Source organism: Homo sapiens, chromosome 7, assembly GCF_000001405.40.
Source record: "Homo sapiens chromosome 7, GRCh38.p14 Primary Assembly".
Lineage (NCBI taxonomy): Eukaryota > Metazoa > Chordata > Mammalia > Primates > Hominidae > Homo > Homo sapiens.
In genome coordinates, this window is record NC_000007.14 from 70382740 (window position 1) to 70403972 (window position 21233).

General features: G+C 41.2%; 1 protein-coding gene across 25 annotated transcripts in view, besides 1 other annotated feature; it reads left to right on the forward strand.

Annotated features, from left to right (window-relative positions):
* Positions 1–21233, forward strand: part of AUTS2 (activator of transcription and developmental regulator AUTS2) — a 1195032-nt gene that overhangs the window by 784265 nt on the left and 389534 nt on the right. The gene's annotated exons all lie outside the window — the stretch shown is intronic.
* Positions 10218–10413: a silencer, noted in NCBI's record as "fragment chr7:69857943-69858138 (GRCh37/hg19 assembly coordinates)". NCBI's record gives its function as "represses an EF-1alpha promoter that drives an FKBP-Casp9 reporter gene in an ReSE screen in phorbol 12-myristate 13-acetate-treated (for megakaryocytic differentiation) K562 erythroleukemia cells {active_cell/tissue: K562(+PMA)}" and the evidence as "EXISTENCE:reporter gene assay evidence [ECO:0000049][PMID:32094911]".

Below are 21233 nucleotides of genomic sequence, written 5' to 3' on the forward strand. Positions count from 1 at the left end.
TTCTCATTCTGATCAGCATGATTTTTCCTTCATTTGAGTGTAGTCATCACTCACTGCATTGCATTATGGTCATTCTCTTCCTTTTTTATTAAAACAACACGATGGATTTTCATAAAATGACACATCCTTATTGAAAAAAAGTATACAGAAGAGTAATGAAAGTAAAAACCACCTGAAGCTGTATCACCCAGAGATATCTGGTTTTGAACATCCCTCTAGATGTTTCTTTGTGTGTATACACAATTTATGAAGTCTATATATTTTTCCAGAACTGAGATCAAATTCTACCTTTTTTCATGTTGATATATTCTGATGCTCTTTTAATGTTGATCAATAGAAAACTAAGCTATAATTTGCAGTGGCTGCAAGGTATCTCATCATTTGGCTTTACCATAATTTTTTGCTTTTTGTTGTTGATTTTTTTTTTTAGCTTGTGTTCCTCCCAGTAGAAGATGAGAGGAGGAGGTGCTTAGCATGTGTTCTGCCCATGTGCTTAGCACAGTCTTGTAAAATGCAAGTGAGCAGTCTGTCATGGTCCTTGACAGGGACTGTTTGTGACTTATCACTCCATGCGGTTTGGGACCTGGGAAAATGTTTAGAGATCTTGAGAACAGGTTAGAGAGGATTGACCTAAAGTCCCATAGTAAAATTTTAGCCTTTAAAAAAAACAATTATTACTGCTTTGAACAGCCTTATGCCCCCATTGCCTGTAAGAAAGCCATTCATTATTTCTTGTTACATAATCTGCAGAGAGCTTATTCACTTAGAAAGCAGTGCATTCATCATAGCTTCTATCTTATGAGTAGCTAAAAGCAGAATCTGTTCTGCATCTTTGAGGCATTCTTCGCAGCACAGACCTCATGCTATCACTAATTAGCCAGAGCATTCCCAGCCAAAAATCCCAGTGCCTGTCCTTGACAAAAAAGTCTGTTTTTTCCACAGTAAGGGTGAAAAGCCTGCCTCTCTGTCTAGGGACATCTCCATAAGACAAGCAAAAATAGGGTGGTGGTGAGCTCTCAGATCAGCCAGCGCAATGAAACAGACTGCAGCCTCTTAGGAGACTTACTGTTTGCTGCCTCCCTTTCTCTGCAAAGTGGGATCTCCATTAGACGATGCCTTTGTACTCTGACAAAATACCTAACCACCATGAGACAAGCCACTTCTGCATTATTCTGTACATTGTTCCTATCCATTCCCCATTTTTGGCTTCAGAAGTCATCCCCTAGCCAACTTCCAGCCACTTGCATTAATGATGAATGCGATTAGCAGCCTATGCTAGTCCATTAGGGAAAAGAAAGAAAGAAAGAAAGAAAAACCATGAGATTGTTTGCTTGTCACTGGGAAGTGAAGCTTGACGGGAACATCCTCACTGTCCCTCCCCACCGCCCCTCCTGCCATGTGCCTGTGATCTGTGCGCATGTGCTCATGGTTGCCCGTGTTCCATGGCTCTGCCATTTGCTCAGTGGGGGGACGTTTTCTTAGCTGAGCAGTGCACCACTCTGCCTGAGGGATTGAGAACATATTGCTTGGCAGGTGGGCCTACTCAGACGCACTGACTGTTGTTTCAGCACTGACAGGGAACATACATCATGCAGGCCCATTATGCCAGCATAAATCCATGGTAACCTGTTCAAAGGGCTGCAACCAGCAAACAACGTGTTTGGGTCTTAATAGGTGATATTTTTGAAACATATAATTGGGATCTGAGAAGTAATTCTGGATGACAAGCCACTCCTTCTGCCATCCTAACAGAAGCTGGGCCTACAGCAAAATACCACTCCTGTCATGCTGCACAAAGATGACTGCCATTCCAGCTCAGCTCCAGGCTGCTGTGCACGGCGCCAACGGTGCCAAGAGCTTGTCTGTGCAGGGAAAAGAGCCCTCAGGTTTGAGGGCTTTCCTTTGTGCCTTGTTGCTCTGGACTGCTGGCAAAAGGAGCTCCTAGGATTGTTGATAGACAATGTCAGAGCCTCTTTCTTCAGCCTACTATTACAAGTTTGAAAGGGATCTAGAGTTTGTTTGGCGTTGGGTAGTGGACAGATAATCCTCAAAGCAGAGGGTTCTGATCAAAGCTATCTTTCATATCCCCCACTGGCCTCCAGTAGGAGAATGAGATATTAATAAAGTCCTTGAACCGAGTGTGAAGGGGCTTGGTATCACTAGCCTTGCTGGCTGCTTCCCTACACAGAAGCCAGACATGTGGTGCCAGCACCTTGGAGATATAGTGGGTAAAGTCTGGCACAGCCCTGGTCACAAAAAACACTTTTTCCCTGCGTTTCTAGGATGAGGAGGTGAATGATTAGTTTACACGAGTTTCCATCCATTGGAGTCATGATACAGTTTCCTTACAACACACTTGCTCCATGACTCATGTTCTGCATTCCTGTTGTGCAGACTCTCACAAGATGCACCTCACCGCACATAATCATCTGTTGCTTTCTGCTTATCCACTAAACTGTTCTCCCTAAAGACAAGTACCATACTTTATTTGTACATAGCCAAGTGCTAGTTTCATGGGAGACACAGAAGGACTGAAGAAAGGAAGATGTTCATTCATAAAAAGAAAAGCCACAAGGAGGTCATTGTGGAGTTGTTGACTTTTTTATCTTCTTGATTTCTAAGAATCATAACATGGGTATTTCAGTATGACTTGCCAATTAAATTACAACTGGGTGGCAATAATATATTATTTAACTCTCATTCTGCCACACAATTAAACAAGTATCAACACAACCCAATATGCATGCTACACAGCATCTGCACTTTTCTCTTGCTACAACAGAAGTAGTTTCCTTAAAGCAAATTAGAAAATAGTCTCATGAGACCAAGGACTTTATAAAGTATAAGGACCAAGGAGGGCCAGGTGTGCACCTGCAGTCCCAGCTACTTTGGGGGCTAAGGTGGGAAGATCGCTTGAGCCCAGGAGTTGGAGGCTGCAGTGAGCAATGCTGGCACCACTGCACTCCAGCCTGGGCAACACTGTCTCTAAAAATAGAAAATAAAATAAAATTTTCCGGACCAAAGAGAAGACTGTTATGATGTGAACAGTAGCAGTCAATATTTAGAAAAGTTGTGTTCCTGGTAGTCTGGCACAGAATGGTGATTATGAGAGATATGGGCTGTATCACACCGCAGCAGTGGCCCAGCTACCACTCCACCAGTTTCACCACTTTCTTGTTTCTACTCAACAGTATGGTTACTTACAACACAGAGATTTGCCAGCCCAGGTTTCATAGAAACATAGACGTTGGTCCTCTGTCCCCAGATATTCTAGTTATAAGGCCTATACGGGAGCCTGGGATTATACTTTGAAAATGCTTTTCAGGTGGCTTAGATGCAGCCAGTCTGTGGACTCTGGTTTGGGAAGCACTGATTAGAAGCATACAATACTGAGAAGCCCAGTAGTTCCCTCAGTCTTTCCACTGCCATGTGCCCTCTATATGTCTTCCCTGGGCCATCTGTCTAAAAATGCCTGATGTCTTAGACAGAGGCTCTGAGGAGCCTTAAGAGCTCCTTGCAAGACATAAAACCAAGACGCTTTTTGGTATGGAAGGGAAATATCATTTAGCACATCTCCATGTCCATCATCAGTTCTACTTCTGAAATATTATTTAAAAACACATTTATTGAAATACGATTCACTTATGAAGTTCATCCTCATAAAGTATACAATTTATTGATTTTTGGTATATTGACAGCCATTTAGTAAATTGTACAACCATCACCACTATCTAATTCTAGAACATTTTCATCAACTAAAAAGAATCCCCAGGCTCATTCCCTCCTACCCAGACCCTGGCAATCACTAATCTACTATCTCTGTGGATTTGCCTATTCTGAACATTTCATCTCTGAAATATCCTAAAGTGACTGAACGTAAGTCCAGTTATATCTGCAAGTGTCTCTAAAAATGTTTTTTTCTAATATTCCATTGGGGGTTGCTGGTTCTTACATCTTTTATAGTCAGAAAGGCTTCACTTATCTCTAACTTTTACCTACATTACCCTTCTATAACATTAACTCATATTCCCTTGTCTTCTCTGCCTCTCTCTCATCATTTCACCAACACTCAAATTCTTTATAAATTCAAACATCATTATCAAGTCACCTCCCGACTTTTCTGTAGGATGAATGATCTGAACAGTCCTATGCCCCTTCCCAGATTTACCCAATATTTCCTCCTATTTCTTCTTATTTAAATAACCAAGTGTTCACCCTTTTCTCTAAGGTGGATGCCTTCATTTGTGCCCTCTTTTTTATTCTCTTTCTCCTGTTCTAGAACCTGGCTTTGGACTGCATCTTCATTTTCTTTCTTCAACCTACAGTAATACTCCACGTTCACACTTTTTAAAAAATACCTCTATCCTGCTGCCTCCTCAAGCTACCATTCTCTTTTTCTCATTCTCTTCACTGCCAAACCTTTTGAAAGCACAGTTTGCTCTCTCTGTTGGTGCTTCTTTTCCACTCACTCCCACTTCACTTCTTGCAGCCATGACTCTGCTCCCGTTACTTTACAGAAATGTCTCTCCTTGTAGTTCATGGCATCAAGCCCAGTACCCTTCCCTGACCCCATTCCCTGAGACCTCTAGGTAACCTGGAGCTCAGTTGACTATTCCTCCATCGTGAAGCACTCTTTTTCCTTTGGCTTCTCTGGCACTCCACATTATCCGGCTACTTTTGGCTCCAGTGTTTAGTGCCTTCCCAAATATGGGTGCCCACTCTTTTATCTGTCTATTTTCTCCCTTTCCAGCCTCATAACACCATCTGGCTCCTAACTATGTGGATAACTTCCAAAACTATCTTCACCACTTGGATGTCCTGCCAGCTCTTTAGACTCATTGCTCAAAACAGAACTCAAACCCTGACAGGCTTTCCGTCTTTCCTAATGTTGGCCATAATGTGACCCAAGGTTGCAAATTTGACTTTTTTCTTTCTGTCTCTATCACCTCCTTGGTTGCCAAGATGACAAGCCATCATGTATATAATAGCTTTTTTATTCTATTGAAGCTGTATTTCTTCATCCATCGTCTCTACTTCTCAATGTCATTGCCCAGGTCCAGGCTTTCATTGGCTCTCATTTGGACTATCACCAGACCATTCGATCTCTGCTCATTCCATCTTCTACGTTACGGCCAGATAGCAGTCCTCCTTCAACACATATGTCATATCCCTAGGCAGCAATCTTTCAAATTCTTCTAAGCCTACTGAATACATCCTAAACGCCTTATCCTAAATTACAAGGCCTTCTATATTATTTTCCATTCCTTCATATTCTGTATGTTCTGTCCTAAGCAAAGCACTGATCATTCTTTCACCTCCACAATTTCTCATTTACAGGACCTTTCTTGTCCTGTATTCTTTTATCTAAAATGATGTCCTTTATTTCTGCCAACATGATTCTATGTGTTGAAATCCTCTCATCCTTCAAATTCTTTCTCTTCCATGAAATCTTAGAACAGTATTTCTCTCTCCTTTGATTTTCCAAAATTGTATGAGGTGGCGGGGGTGTGGAGGGTAGGAAAGGACATTTAGCACTTTGTCTTGTATTTCCATTATTTATGTGCTTGTCTTATCCAGTCCCGCCTTGGATTTTCATTGTTATAACTCCTGTGACTGCTGATAAAGTATCTTAAATATAGTATATCCTGAATAAATGTTTCTTCAGTGAATGAATTTTTTAACTTCTATAAAATATAGAAGATGTAAAAAACTAAACTTGTAGATGACAGGCTTTATGTCAGTGTCAAGAGAGTTCTCAGTAGTTTCCACACTATTATTATTTTCAGTCAATCTAGGTACAAGGCTGAGGTGAAAGAAGCTTGAGAGAATTGTAGCAAACCTGCCATCATCTTCATATTGTAATGCCTTTGCATTTGCATAATATTTTATACCATTATAAGATACTTTCACATCTTATCTGACCCTCTCTATACTTATTTTAGGTTAGAAAGAGATAGTTATCCTAATATCCATTTCATAATGAGGAAAGTGTATTCTGGGCAGTTTTAATGACTTAATTAACTAACGTCAGGTTATTGATTAGGGGCAGACCTGGACAAGGGGACCTGTTGGCTGTCTTTAAATATTTGAAGAACTATCATGTCAAAGAAAATTAAATCTTTTTTTTTATTCTTTATTTCCTCAGAGGACTAGAACAAACACAAGTGAATTCAAACTCAATGAGGAGATAAATAGTTTAACTATCAGATCCACTTCAAGATGATATTGGCTGCCTCTGTTGTTCAAGAGGAGCTCAGGGAGAGCAAGCTGGCCAACCAGGTAGAGGACAGTTTGTTGGAAAGAGCCTCCCAAAAAGTATAGGTTAACCAAGCTCCCTTCTAATTTTGCAATTTTGACTTTCTTTTTAGGTCAGCACTGTGTTACTACCCTGCATAATCTAAGTTTTGATTTCTGTCTTTTTTTTAGAACTCAACCTTAAGCAAATTTAGCCACAGTGTGGTCCAGGTCCTAGATTTTTTATGAGATGGCCACTCCACCTTATCCTACCTACTCCTTGCAACTGATATTGGACCACCTACAGGTGGGAATCTAAAAGAATGTATTTCCACCCAATCCTTCAGTGCCTAGAGCTGCCAGCCCAATGGGGAAAAAAAACACGAAGTTTTCAGAAAATCTCACAGGTGCCATCATCACATGTAGCCGGCCCAATCTGGCAACTCCAGAAACCTGTCTGGTATTATGGCCATGGTAGGCAAGCCTAGTGTTCTCTCAGAATGCCACTCTCTCATTCTGTTGGAAGGAGGTGGGTGACTCTAATGAGCTCCAAACTTTTCCTTGAAATGGGGAGTTGCCTAAAAAGGCAACTGCCTCCAAACAGCCAAATGGAAATTATGATATTTCACTGAACTCAGAACCAAATCTGCCTTTTTTTTTTCTTTATAGAAACATTTTATGTGCCATGTGCCTTGGGAGCCAAAAAGAAATCATACTTTGGCTCCCTGTTCCACTTTGCTAAGCTCAGATACTGTAAATACCCTCCTCTCCTCTCATAACGTTAAATTTTTCATGAATTCATCATAAAGGAGCCACTTTGTAGATTTGGCTGGTACCAGTGAAAGACTTCATTTTCTATTTCACAGGAACTTTTCAGTGCAAAAAAAATTACGGGTGCAATGTTGAAAGACTAGAATTATTCATCAAGTCTTCACTGCCTGCAAATGAAGAGAATTTTTCTAAAGCCTATCTGGGAGAATGCAGACACAGACATGCATATTTTAGATGGTGCTTCATCTTCACCGTAGCCACCTTATCTTTCTCAGAAGAGTCAGGAGTAAGAGAGGATATGTGCTTTCTTATTGTTTTGTGGATTCATTCAAGAGTTCACAACAGCTCACACATTTCCCCCTTACCTTCCAGTGTACCTGGAACTCACCAATGCACCGAAGAAGAGAATATTTCCTTGAATTACGCATTGATAGAAGTACCAATAGCTTTGTATGATAAAATGCAGTGGTTCTCAGACTTTGACATGCATCCGAATCCTCTGGTGGGCTTATTCAAACACATGCAAGGCCTCATGCCAAGATTTTCTGATTCAGTAGATGTGGGTTGAGGCCCGGGAATGTGTCTTTTTAGAAAGGTGATGGTGCTAATGCTGCCTGTACAAGGACAACACTCTGAGGAACACTAACATAATGAAAAGAATTTAGAAATCAGGAAACCTTGGTTTTAGTCCTGAGTCATCTACCAATGATGGATCTGTGGCCAAGTCCCTGGGCCTCAAGAGTAGTGACTCCTGCACTATGTGAACTAGTGTTACTTTGAGAATAAAACCTGAGGGTGTGCAAAAGAACACTCAGCACTCAGGGCTCTAGAGGGACTTGAAATGTTATAATTACAGGCATGAGGAGAGTTGAAGGAAAACAAATGGAAGAAGTTTTAAGATGCATTCATTCTGTCAAGTCCAAGCAGAGAATGGCCGGCACTCAACTGCTATGCTAAGAAGGGGCCAGCGAAGATGGGAAGAGTTAGGTAGTTCCCCCATTCTGTGACCTGGCTCTGAAAAAGTCAGATACTCTGCTTTATTCATGTTCTATATGATATAGCCAGGCCGTGTTAGAGCAGTGGTCCTCAAACTTTCCTGTGATTCAGAATTAACCTGGGACATTAGGTAAATACACAAAGGCCCAAGCTCTTTCCTACTTCAAGGAGCCTGGGCCTTGGGGTGATTCTGATACACTCCAAAGTTTGAGAATGACCGAATCTGTGCTGATAACTGTAAAACCATATCCTGATAACCTGTGAAGGAACTGAATGCCCTAGACAGTTTTCTCAGCCTTGTCTGCACATTGGAATCCCCTGCAGAGCTTTTAAATCCCACACGTACAGGCCACCATCCAGTCCTGTTGTATCTGAATCTCTGGGGGTGAGGCCCTGGTATCAGTACCTTCTTACAGCGCCTCAGTAATTCACATTTGCAGCCAAGGCTGAGAAGCAAGCACTGATTTAGAAAGAGTCCCCTGTCACTGTCCTCAGCAAATATGTTTTGTTTGTGTTTTGTTGGCTTGTCTCTTTCCCATATCATGTGGTGAGAATATTGAGGCCATTTCTTTGTGCCCAGAAACCAACACAGTGCCTCACTCTGTGTTTTAGATGCTCAGAACATGTTGGTTATTTGAATGAATATTTCAAGGTATTTGAATGTTGAATTAATGAATATGCAAATAAAATACAACAAAACTCACCGCAGAAGTCCCCTACATTGAACTGTTTTGTGTAAGCACAACCCGTTGTGGAGTTCAGGCCCTCACAATAAGAGAGTATTTATTGAATAATTTGCAGAATCACAATCACGGAGTATCTGTTGAATAATCTGTAAAACTGTTATCAACCCCAACTATAACTTACTCTTCCAGGTGAGATGAGGAGTCGGGGAAACATTTGCCTGGCAGAGTGTTAAGAATGCTAAAAAATAATAACAATAAAAATAAAAAAATAAAAAGCAGCAAATTAAGACATATTTGACACCTACTACGTGGCATACATTTTCATTTGTTCTCACTGAATCTTCACAGCAAACTTGCATTCTCTCTGTTTTTTTCTGAGGGAAGAAATGGCAAAAGCAAATCGCCTGTGTTGGGAAGCACAGGGGAGTTTGTTGGACCCCAGAGCTTGAGTTCTTTTCCAGTATTTATTTTGCTGCCATTCAGAGCTTCCCTAGCCACCCCTGCTGCTTCCCTGACCTGCTCCTGCATGGCTCACCAATGGATCCTAGTCACACCAGCCCCCACAGAGTGCTTCCTGACTTCTCCAGTGAAGTTTCCCCCGGGAAATTCTCACTGGCCCATGATTTGATTGCCTGACCACCTTCAAAACGGGTTAGATAACTCATAGTATGCTATGCTAACCATGTTAAAAAGCTTATTCTCATAGCTTTGCAATGGCTTCTTTGTATGACTGTTCCTCGCCCTAGACAGAAGGCTTCTTGAGGGCAAGAATGGTTTCTTGCCTATCTTTATATTCCCTTTGCCTAGTGTACTTCCTAGCCCATTGGAGAGACTCAGTTTTTTCTAAGGAATGAATGACAGCAGAAACTCATCCATGATGAGCAAGGACCTCCTGAAACATTTCAGCATGTGTGCATGTGTTGTGCTTCAGAATATTTTAGAAACATTTTCCAGATTTAATTGAGGCTTCTGGGAAGCCTTGCTGTGTTCTTCCTTGCAAAAAATAGAAGGTCGTTACCAGGAAGTCTCAGTGTACCATATTTATCTGGTGAGTTTTGAAAATACTGAGTAATGGGACTAATGACTCAACATAGTATTTTCCAAACTGTGAGGTAATCTTTGGACTTTGCAAGATTATTATATTAAGTGTACTTTTTAGTCTGTCAGTAAAAAATAAAAAGCCTGTATTTTCACATTAGAATTCAAAGAACATCTGCTGCGTATTGTAAATAACATATTTTGAAAACCAACTGATGCATACTCAGCCTGCCTCCGCTTGCTAACTATAGCAGGTCCTTAAGATAAGATTCAGTTTGCCATTGGTACCGCTCTTGCTTTGACATTCCACTGTTTGGTGAACCACCGTTTTCCAGAAATCTTTAGACACCATTCAACCCTCTAAACAAACTGAGTACAGTGAGGTTTTCAGCTTCCTGTTTTCTAGTGGGATTAGAAAGGGACCCTATTCCTAGATGATGATGTGTTTTTCAAGGAGTTAAACTTAGAGAGGTTTTCTACTGGGGCCATTTCTTACCCCCAAGGACATGCATCCTCTGGCTGGAAGCTCAGCTCTTACTGCCTTGCAGAGAGCCACCAGTTGCCACAGGCAACCGACTGCTCCCGACAGGAAGGGTAGTATTGATTTTGCTGGTCTGCCTGTAGGGGAGCGGGCCAAAGAGGAATGCTCAGAGGGGCTCCTCTGTCTGGGGTGTGCATTTGCACAGCAGCCCCATTCATGTCCTCCAGCCTGTATCTCACCTCCTCGGGAGACTGAAAAACTCAATCAGCTTTTCCCTTGTTCCTTCTCAGTTTGTCTTGTTAGCACTCTTTCTTAGCAAGTAAGCACCATATGTCTTCTATGGGAACTTGTTTTCAGGAGATTCCCAGCGCATGTGTGCTGGCTGGGAAGAGAGGAATTGGTGTTTTACTAACCAGCAGCGCTTGCCAGAGTGCCCGCTTTTGAGTCCTGCCCTTCCTGCTCATCTGCCCCATGGTCTAGTTTGTCCTGGACACAGTATTTCACTGGATCTTACTGGGGTCGCAGAAAATTGCCTGGCTTGTGAGGGATTTTTCTGAACCAAAGAGAGAGCCTGTGTGGATGCCTCTCTGTGGTTCCTCATTATCCTGGGTAGTCTGTGTCTCACAAGCACCTGTTCATTGATCTGGTCCTCTGTCCTTGCGAAGACGATAGCACATACTGATTATAGGGGCTCTATGTGATGTTATTGGGCTTCCTTGCTCTTAGCCAGCCACCCATGCCAAAGCATGCAGCTGATATGTTCTGCTTTTGAAATAATTTGGTTTCTGTAACACGAAGCCCACCACCCCCCTTTCAACCTTTAATACCTGTCTTCTTTGAAAGCCAGCTTGTTGAGCATCCAATTTGTCTCTTTTCTTCTTCACTTTCCCCCAGTTTCCTTGCACTCAGGCTGTCTTTTATCAAAAACAGAGAGTGAGCCAATGACACCTCATGGCAAGCAGCAGCATGAAGCATTTTCTTCTTTCACCTTGACATCTTTTCGGCAAAGAAAAAGCAAGGGTTGGGAACCTGCTCTATTCACTTTGGCTTCTACAGCTACCTCTTTTAAAACTGCTGGTTGTTATTGCCTGGTAGCTGTCTCCCTGAAGGTTTTACCAGTTGTTTTGGAAGGCTGGCTATTTTCTATTCCCTTGGGAATTCACCTTACACAGTCATAGATGCATGTGTTATGTGTATTTGTGTTCATATGCTATCAATTAGTAATGAAAAATCAGGCCAAGCCTCTTTGGTACTTTTTTTTCCCCTACAGATGAGTAGTCAGTGTTCATAATAACTGCCAAAACTTATCTTGAGTTTCCTGAGTGCCATGGTCTCATGTCATTCTTACAACAACTTTTTGAAGTAGTCCCCATTTTACAGATGAGAACACTGATGCTTGACAGGTTATGCACCATAGTGGAGCTAAGACTTGAATGCAAAGATTCTGCCTTGAAAGCCCAGGCTATTCAAAGATTAACTGGATTGCCTGGGCCTGATACGGTATCTCTCAGTCACTCATTTGAACTTTGCCAACCATAGTCCTAAATGCCCAATGCTTATCCTTGGAAAGGCTAGATATCAGCAAACATGAGATGAGTTGAAAATAATCTTTGTTCTGAAGTTCTAAGGGATAAGACGCATTGCTACCAACATATGTGGCCTATTAAATGATGATTCTCAGTGGCACAGAGGAGATTGACCACTGTGGTGGGGAAGGTGGGGCAAGGACTGAGAGAGAGTGGGGGACAGTTCTGTTATAGCCCAAGGTGATAAAGGAGTTGTGATAATCACTGGATTGATAATCACTATTCTAGAACCATAGTGTTCCCCTAATCATAAAAGCTACTATTAGCCACGTGTTGTGGCTCACGCCTGTAATCCCAATGCTTTGGGAGGCCAAAGTGAGAGGATCGCCTGCAGCCAGGAGTTTGAGACCAACCTGGACAATATAACAAGACCCTGTCTCTTAAAAAATGTAAATAAATAAATAAATGTTTAAAAGCCACTAGTAAGTGAACACATACTATATTTCTGGCATTGAACTATATGCTTTCATTTAATCATTCTCATTACCCTATAAGAAGATACTGTTATCTCATTTTTTCTCTGTAAAATGAGATTTCTCTGTAAAATGATTCTTAGTGGCATAGAGGAGATTGACCACTGTGGTGGGGAAGGTGGGGCAAGGACTGAGAGAGAGTGGGGGACAGTTCTGTTATAGCCTAAGGTGACAAAGGAGTTGTGATAATCACTGGATTGATAATCACTATTCTAGAACCATAGTGTTCCCCTAATCATAAAAGCTACTATTAGCCAGGTGTTGTGGCTCACACCTGTAATCCCAATGCTTTGGGAGGACAAGGTGAGAGGATCGCCTCTCACCAAGTTTCAGAGAGGTTATCCTGGCTCAAACTTGCCACATCTTAAGTGAAAAAAAACTTAGACTTGAACCCAAATGTGTTTGTCTTCAAAGCCTATGCTCTATTCTTTCCTAATTATCAGCGTCTTTTTGCCCATTGTGATATTTAATCAGAATCATTATCATTAATAGCTCATCCAACTGATAAAGGAAGGAAATAAATGAATTTTGTATTTGTGGACCAGAGTATGTGATTGAGCTGAGTATGCAAAGATTTGGTCCCCTGGTCTACTGGATGATCTTTTCACAAGTGATCTCAGTTAGCTGCCATGTGCTTAACATAGGTTGAAAGTTAGTTGACAGCTTTGCTTCACTGAGGATTGTTTCCAGAATTATCAGTGCTTAGTGACTTTGAAGATAAACATGGATTACAGGTTCAAGGAGCCTACGAGAGTCAGAAGAGTTGGGAATGTGTTCCCAACTCTTTAACTAGCTGTACAGATCTGGGAACTGCACTTAACTCTATTCAACCTCAGCTTTTCTATCTGAACATCATGTTAGGTAATTCCAAGATATGTTTTAGCTCTGAATGATAATTGCTGTTTACCGTCAAGCCTGTTTGTTTTACACATACAGAAAAACACTCTTAACCCATGAAGTATGTAGTTAATTGAGAAAGTTAAAGGAAAAAGTCATAAAGAAGAAAATATGCTATCTACACTTAATTTTTAAAAGCAGCTTTATTGTGGTGTAATTGACATATGATAAGCTATGTATATTTAAAGTGTACAATTTAATAAGTTTTGATCAAAGTACCCACTCATGACACCATCACCACAGTCAAGATAATGAGCATCTTCATTCATTACTCCACAGGTCCCCATCTCCTTTGTGGTCCCTTCCTCCTGCCCATTCACCCAGCCCCTGCCACATATACAAAAAAACAACTGCTAAGCTACCTGATATACCTTCTGTCACTATGGATTACTATTCATGTTTAGAGTATTATATAACTGTAATCTTATAGCGTGTATACTTTTTTGTGCTCTCACATTCTGTATAATTATTTTGAGATTTTTTTTTTTTTTTGGAAACAAAGTCTCTTTCTGTCACCCAGGCTGGAGTACAGTGGCACGATCTCAGCTCACTGCAACCTCTACCTCCCGGGTTCAAGCCATCCCCCTGCCTCAGTCTTCAGAGTAGCTGGGATTACAGGTGTATACCACCACACCCGGCTAATGTTTGTATCTTTAGTAGAGATGGGGTTTTGCCATGTTGGCCAGGCTGTTCTCGAATTCCTGACTTCAAGTGATCCACCCACCTCAGATGCCCAAAGTGTTGGGACTACAGGTGTGAGCCACTGCACCTGGCCTATTTTGAGATTCATCTATATGGCTGCATGCATTGAGGCCATTTCTTTCTTTCGCTGAGTAGTGTATGGATATACCATAATTATTTACCTTTTCACCTACTGATGGACGTCTGGGTTGTTTACAATTTTTGGTTATTACAAATAAAGCTGCTGTGAACATTCACATACAAGTCTTTGTATGGACATATATGTATTTGAATCTTAAGGAAGTATCTAGGAGTAGAATGGCTGGAACTGGTAGGTATATGTTTAATGTTTTACAAAAATGTCAAACTGTTTTCCAGAGTGGTTGTACCGTCTTACATTTCCACCAACCGTGTATAAGAGTTCCACCTCCTCACATCTTCACCAACACTTTGTATGTCTTTTCATTTTAGCCATTCTTTTATTATTTTTTTTTTTTTGAGATGGAATTTTGCTATTGTTGCCCAAGCTGGAGCTCAATGGCACGATCTCGGCTCACTGCAACCTTCACCTCCCAGGTTCAAGCGATTCTTCTGCCTCAGCCTCCCGAGTAGCTGGGATTACAGAGGTGTGCCACCATGTCTGGCTAATTTTTTGTATTTTTAGTAGAAACAGGGTTTCACCATGTTAGCCAGACTGGTCTCGAACTCCTGACCTCAGGTGATCCACCTGCCTCGGCCTCCCAAAGTGCTGGGATTACAGGCATGAGCCACCGAGCCCAGCCTCATTTTAGCCATTCTAATACACATGCACTAGTGTCTACTTGTGGTTTTAATTTTTGTTTTTCTAATGACTACTGATATTGAGCATATTTTCATGTGTTTGTTTTCCATATGTATATCTTTTTGGGTAAACTTTCTATATAAATCTTTTGCCCATTTTTAACTTAAATTCTTTGTTTTCTTATTGTGAGTTTGAGATTATATATGAAAAAATATTGTTTAAGAAATAATCTAAAATAAAAATAAATATATTCTTTTATTTATTTACATATGTATACAACTCCTTACATGTATGTACACACACACACACACACACACATTCTGCAAAGATTTGCTCCTAGTTTGTGGGTTCTTTTCATTTACTTAACAGTATCTTTCAAGGAGTAGAAATTTTTAATTTTGATGAAGCCCAATTAATTAATTTATTCTTTTATGTGTTGTGTTTTTGGTATTATAGTTTTGCCTAACTCAAGGTTAAAAGATTTTCTCCTATGTTTTCTTATAGAAGTTGCACAATTTTAGTGTTTAAATTTCAGTCTCCAATTTCTGAGTTCATTTTTGTATATGATGTGAGTTCATTTTTGTATATGATGTGACTTCAATTTTGTATATGGTATGAGGTATAGATTCAAGTTTGTTTGTTTGTTTGCTTATGGATATTAAAGTGTTCCCGCACTGCTTATTGAAAAGGTTATGCATTCTCTACTGCATTGCCTTTGCACTTTTGTTCAAATTCTGTTGTTCACATGTATGTGTTTATTTCCTCACCCTTTACTCAGTTCCACTGATGTAATTTTCTGTCTTTATGCCAATACCACATCATTTGGTTACTACAGCTTTATGATATGCTTGAAATCAGGGAATGTTAGCCTTCCAACTTCTTTTCCAAATTGTTTTGGTTATTGTAGGTTTATATATTTCCATATGAATTTTAGAATCAGCTTGTCAACTTGTATGGAATCTATAGCTCACTCTGAGGAGAATTAATACCTTATTGAGTCAAACCATGAACAAAGTATTTTTTCATTTATTTAGATCTTCTTTCATTTCTCTTAGCAATATTTTGTATTTTTTAATGCACAGGTCTTTCACATATTTTTTGTGTGATCCCTAGTTTTTTATATTTTTTGATGTTATTGTAAATGATAACATTTTTAAAATTTAAATTTTTGATTGTTGCTAGTACAGTTTATTTTTGTATATTGATGTTATATTAAATTATGATAAATGCACATACTATTATAGTTCTAGTAGCTTTTTTATAGATTCTCTTTGATCTTTCTACATAGATAGTTATTATGCCTGCAAATAAAGACAGTTTAACTCTTCCTTTTCAATCTGGATTACTATCTCTTTTCCTTGTTGATTCACTTTTAGAACCTCCAAAACAATATTTAATAGAGGTGAGAGTGGATATTTCTGTTCTTAGGGCAAAAGCATTCAGTTGTTCACCATAAGTATGATGTTTCCTTTGGGATTTTCATATATAGCCATTTTCCGTTTGAAAAAGTTCTTTTCTAATCCTGGTTTTCTGATTTTATCAGGAATGAATGTTTGATTTTTGTGTGTGTTTTTTGATGCTTTTTCTGCAACTATGAAGAAAATCATATGGTCTTTCTTTTTTTTTTTTTTTTTTCTTTTTGAGACAGGGTCTTGCTCTGCCACCCAGGCTGGAATGCAGTGGTGCGATCATAGCTCACTGCCTCCTTGAACTCCTGGGCTCAAGTGATTCTCCTACCTCAGCCTCTCAAATAGTTGGGACCACAGGCATGCACCACTATGCCTGGCTGATTTTTTTTTCTTTTTTTGTAGGAACAGGTTCTCCCTAGGTTGCCCAGGCTGGTCTCAAACCCCTGGATTCAAGCGATCCTCCTACCTTAGCTTCTCAAAGTGCTGGGATTATAGGCATGAGCCACCACACCCAGCCAGGTCTTCCTTTTTTAGTGTGTGACTATGGTGAATTATATTCATAGATTTCCAATATTACGCCATTCTATGTACATTGTACATACATTGCTAAGGTCTTTTTTTTTGCTTATGGGTTTGCTTTTTAGAGCTCTGTATCATCTTTCTTATATAAATTCTCATCCATAATGCATTCTCTACATTCTCAGTTTCAGTTTAAGTGGAGGCAGATCTTGGACACTTGTCAAGTTTTCAAGTCCTCTAGGTTTAAGATTTGTTTTGTTTTGCCAGTCTTTTATAATTTCCTTGTCCACACCTAAGTGGATAGCAGTTTATCTTTAAGTTTCTCACCTTTAGTGAGTGTCTAAAACACTCTTGTTTGGTTTGAGAGAAGCAACAATTATATGTCCATATTCATAGTTCAGCAATGAAGGTAATTATTAATTAAACGATATAATTGTAATACCCAGCACAACTGGGTAAAAAAATAAAATAAAATAAAATAAAATAAAAATAAATAAAAACTTGGGATGGATTACAGCTGAGTGTTGGTAAGCATACAGCCCAGTGGAGGAGAGCAGAAGTGTGTAGACTAGAGAATAGCCAACTAGACTCAGATTTAGTGTGCGGTGGTAAGCTATTCAGAGAGTGGAAACAATTAGTTACTCCAGGGAATTACAGAAATGGAAACTAATAGAGCTTCTGTAATTCTCTTTCATTCCTATAAACAGTATTCCCTTCCTTCAGCAACCAGTGGGCAAAGGTCCAGAGGTCACCTTCTATACGAGGAACACAAACTAGTCAGCACTGAATTATCCTCACAATTAGAAAAACACCTGTGACCAAGTGTGGATCCTTGCAATGGGCTTTAACTATACCTGTAGCAAATATATGGAAGAACCCTGGATTTAGAGTCAAGTGAGCCTGGGTTTGAATAGCAATGACTGTCTCTGTGTTGTTGAGCAGCCTTGGGAAAATTAGTACCTCAGAGGGTCATCTCAAGGAATAAGTGATAGAACATGTATGAGACAGACACAGAGTTGTAGGTATGCCTTGTGTGTGGTTTGGATCCTTGTTGCAAGATGTTTACACTATCTAGAGTGGTGTGTTCTACCCAACCATATGATCCTCCTGCCCAAAAAGTTCCCTAGCTCTAGCCTGTCGCAACATTTGATGCAAATGGAGAAGGAAGGACATTGAAGGCAGAGAAAACAGTTTGACCGAGGTTAGGTGGCAAGGAAGGAGAAAGCATACATGGGAAGATGTGAGCAGTCAGGATTGGGCACAAGGTTCATGCTGAGGTAGGGGGGCAGACAAGCTGAAAAGTCGCCTGATGTGCGACCATGCCAAGCCGTGAAGATTGGCTGGATTCTCTCACCTCTCCCCTCACACCTTATATAGGAGGTTGGTAAGCAAGGAGAGTCACTGAAACTTTTCTTTTTAAGGGAACGCCATGGTGAGAGCTGTGCCAGGGATTCTCAAACCTTGACTGTATCAGAATCACCTGGGAGCTTGTTAAAAAATACATATACCTTGGGCCCCACCCAGACTTACTCAATCCTAATCTATAGGTTTGGGTCAAGGCATCTGTATTTTTAACAAGCTCCCTAGGCAATTCTAATGCACGCCAAAGTTGAGAAACCACTGCTTTAGAAGGTTAATCTGGCAGCAGCGTACAAGATGGATTGGAGCTGAGAGAGCCTGGAGGTTCAGAGACCTGCTTGCAACAACAATCCCGGCAGGAGATAATGAGGTTAGGGGCTGTGGGAATGGAAAGGAAGAATCAGATATGGGAGGTATTTTTGAGAGGCAGTCAGCAAGGACTGGGCAACGAATTTGATGGGGAATGTGAGGGAGAAATGGGACTTAACAAATAATGTCAAGGTTTAGAGAAGCTGCTCTCCATGGCATGAAGGGAGAGGTAACAGAATCCCCTGGGGACCTTAGTCAAATTGCACACACCTGCTCCCCTTTCTGTGCTCATCCTCCACATCTTCCTCCTTCCCTGCAAGTTCCCTGAGATGTGTGCCAGGATGGGGCATATCAGCTCCTCCTGGGGAAGCCTGCATGTGTAGTTTGAGGGGGAAACTTTTCCAGGTGACACTTCTGTTGCAAGCCACTTGTTAGGCATCTTTGAGCCTGTGAGAATAGTGGTGTGGTGAGATTAGGAGGAAGGAGGGACCAAGCTGGAGCTGACCACAGGACATGAAATAACCTTTGGAGGCTGTGGAAATGTGAGTTCAGAGCTGTGGAGCAAGAAGTGGGCTGTGATATAAATTCAAAAGGCCACTGCATGGAGGTCATGGTGAAGACAGATGAGACCGTGGAGAGTAGAGAGGAAAGGATCCAGAATGAAGCTTGAAGAAGGCCTACGGTTAGGAGTCATATGCAGATGAAGGGTCAAAGAAGAGCAGGCTGCAGAGGTGGGAGGAGACTGCTTCTGCTTCAAGGCCAAGGCATGAGGCAGACATCTAGAAAGATCTGCAAACAGGAGGGCAGAACTCTAGCTCCTCTGCCATCCTTCCACCAGCGTGATTTTGTGCAGGAAGCAGTCCAGTCCCCCAGGAGTATGTGGCACAGTCATGTAAAGGGGTTAACGCTGTATAGGACCACACATTTGAAAATTTTCTTTACAAAATCCAGTGTCTTTTGAGCTGATGTACCAGAGACTGACAGGCTGTAACTTCTTACACTATTCCCCCCAGGTTTCTGATCAACTCATAACCTTCTATACACATTTTTGGCCCAGCACAGCCAAATGTAAGGTATTAAAAATCATTATAGTGCTTTGGGGTCCTTGCTCCCCGCAAAGTTCCAGACATGCTGCCTGTATTTTGTGATGTCACACTGTGAAAATAGGATGTTGTGTTTTGGAGGCACCTCCAGGGTGCCCAGCAATTGGCACATCTTAAGTGAAAGAAAACAAATTGAGTGAGCAACAGTAGAAAAGAAGGACATTTGTATCAACCCAGGAAATAAAGAATTACGCAGAGATGCTATTTATGCTGCTATGAAGCTGTGACTTGATAGGGACAGCATAAAGGTTGCCCACTCCTGACATTGGCAAGACTTCAGGCTGACCAGAGCCACTCCACTGAAGTGGGGTCAGCTGTCTCAGAAGGTGCTCTGTGAAGCTGACGCAGAATCACAGTTTGCTGTAAAAAGGGCTTACACATGTAAAACCTTGTATTTTGTCTTAGAAGTATCCTGGAAGCTATCGCATTTTCTTAGTAGAGACACAGAGGCATCAAGTAATAAAGAAACGATTCCAAGGTTCCAGACTCCTGGGTAGTTGGGCAGGAGACTCAACCTAGAGTTCTGGTTTGTAGGGTACAGAGAGAAAGGCTTGCATGCGGGAAGAGCACATTTAAGAATCACTTGGGGATGGGCGTGGGTTAGATTCCAGTCTGTTGCTTCTTAACTGTGTGACCTGGGGCCATTCATTTGACCTTTCTGAGCTTCAGTCTCCAATTGTAAAGGGCAGAAAATCATATTTACCTCCTGAGAGTAGTTTCAAGAATTAAGGATGAAGGCACCATTACAGCGCTTGGCATGAAGTTGATCCCCCCAAATCGATGCCCATCATCATAATTACTGGGTTTTTCCCCAGTCGTCTGAACACTCATGTACTCCCCTGGATGCACGCAAAGAGACACTGCTGTTTTCCTTTGGCATCCCTAGTTTGGATTTTAAATGCTTTTTTCCTCATTAAAATAATGTTATAGCTGGAAGGAGCTTAGGTGCAGTTGAAATAATACTGTTACGAAGGTCTGTCCTTCAAGGCATTTATAAACTGAATGGGACTTTTTGAGTGGGCCTGGACACCAGGATTTTACGGGAAAGGTACCCTAGCCCCCTTTTTTACAAGTGAACTTTTATTAAGCCACCAGCTCTCAGAACTTGCAGAATTGCTGGAAAATTGCCTTGGGCAGGGTATGTAATCACAAAATGAATAAAAGACAACAGGATGTGAGTCTTTCCAAAGCATGGGAATAGCACACTGCAACTTCTTGCCATCCCTACCCTGGGCAAAGATGCAGCTAACCAGCTACATTGATACTTGGAATTAAGTCAGGAGGCTTGGCCAGGGGCCCCCACCATTCCACACCTTGGGCCTGACTGCCACTCTCAGTACAGGTTGCTAATTTAAATGCCATCTCCTGGCACTGCATGTTGAAACAAACTGGAAAATAGCAGGGCCTTTCCTTCATCAGATCATCAATGTCTGCCTGGCGTCTGCCTGCCTACTGTGGCCAACAACCTGCCTTCCTGTGAGCATCCTCCAATGTACAAATACCTCAAGGACTCCTGACCTCTGGGATTTCATGGCTCCTGTCCATTCTTCTCTCATTCTCTTAGCAAAAGAAATTACTTAAGAATGGGTGAGGGATGGAGACATCTCTCAGCTCCCTATGGGGTCTTCTTTCCTGAACAAACTGAGCAGAGCCGCAAAAGAATACATAAGGAAGGCTTGGCAGAATGTTTTGATACAAAATTCATTACAGGTTTGTTTATGTGCTGGGCAGTTTGGGTCCTCTTACACGTGTGTAGACACTGCATTCCTTCTGGTTCAAGTTTTGTGTTTAGAGAGAGGTTTTGGAAGGAGATCAAAGATGTCAGATTGCTGGCCTAATTCTTAAAAGAACTGATTTGGGGAAAGGCTTGAAAACATTCATACCCAGGTTTGAAAACAAGAAGTAGCAAT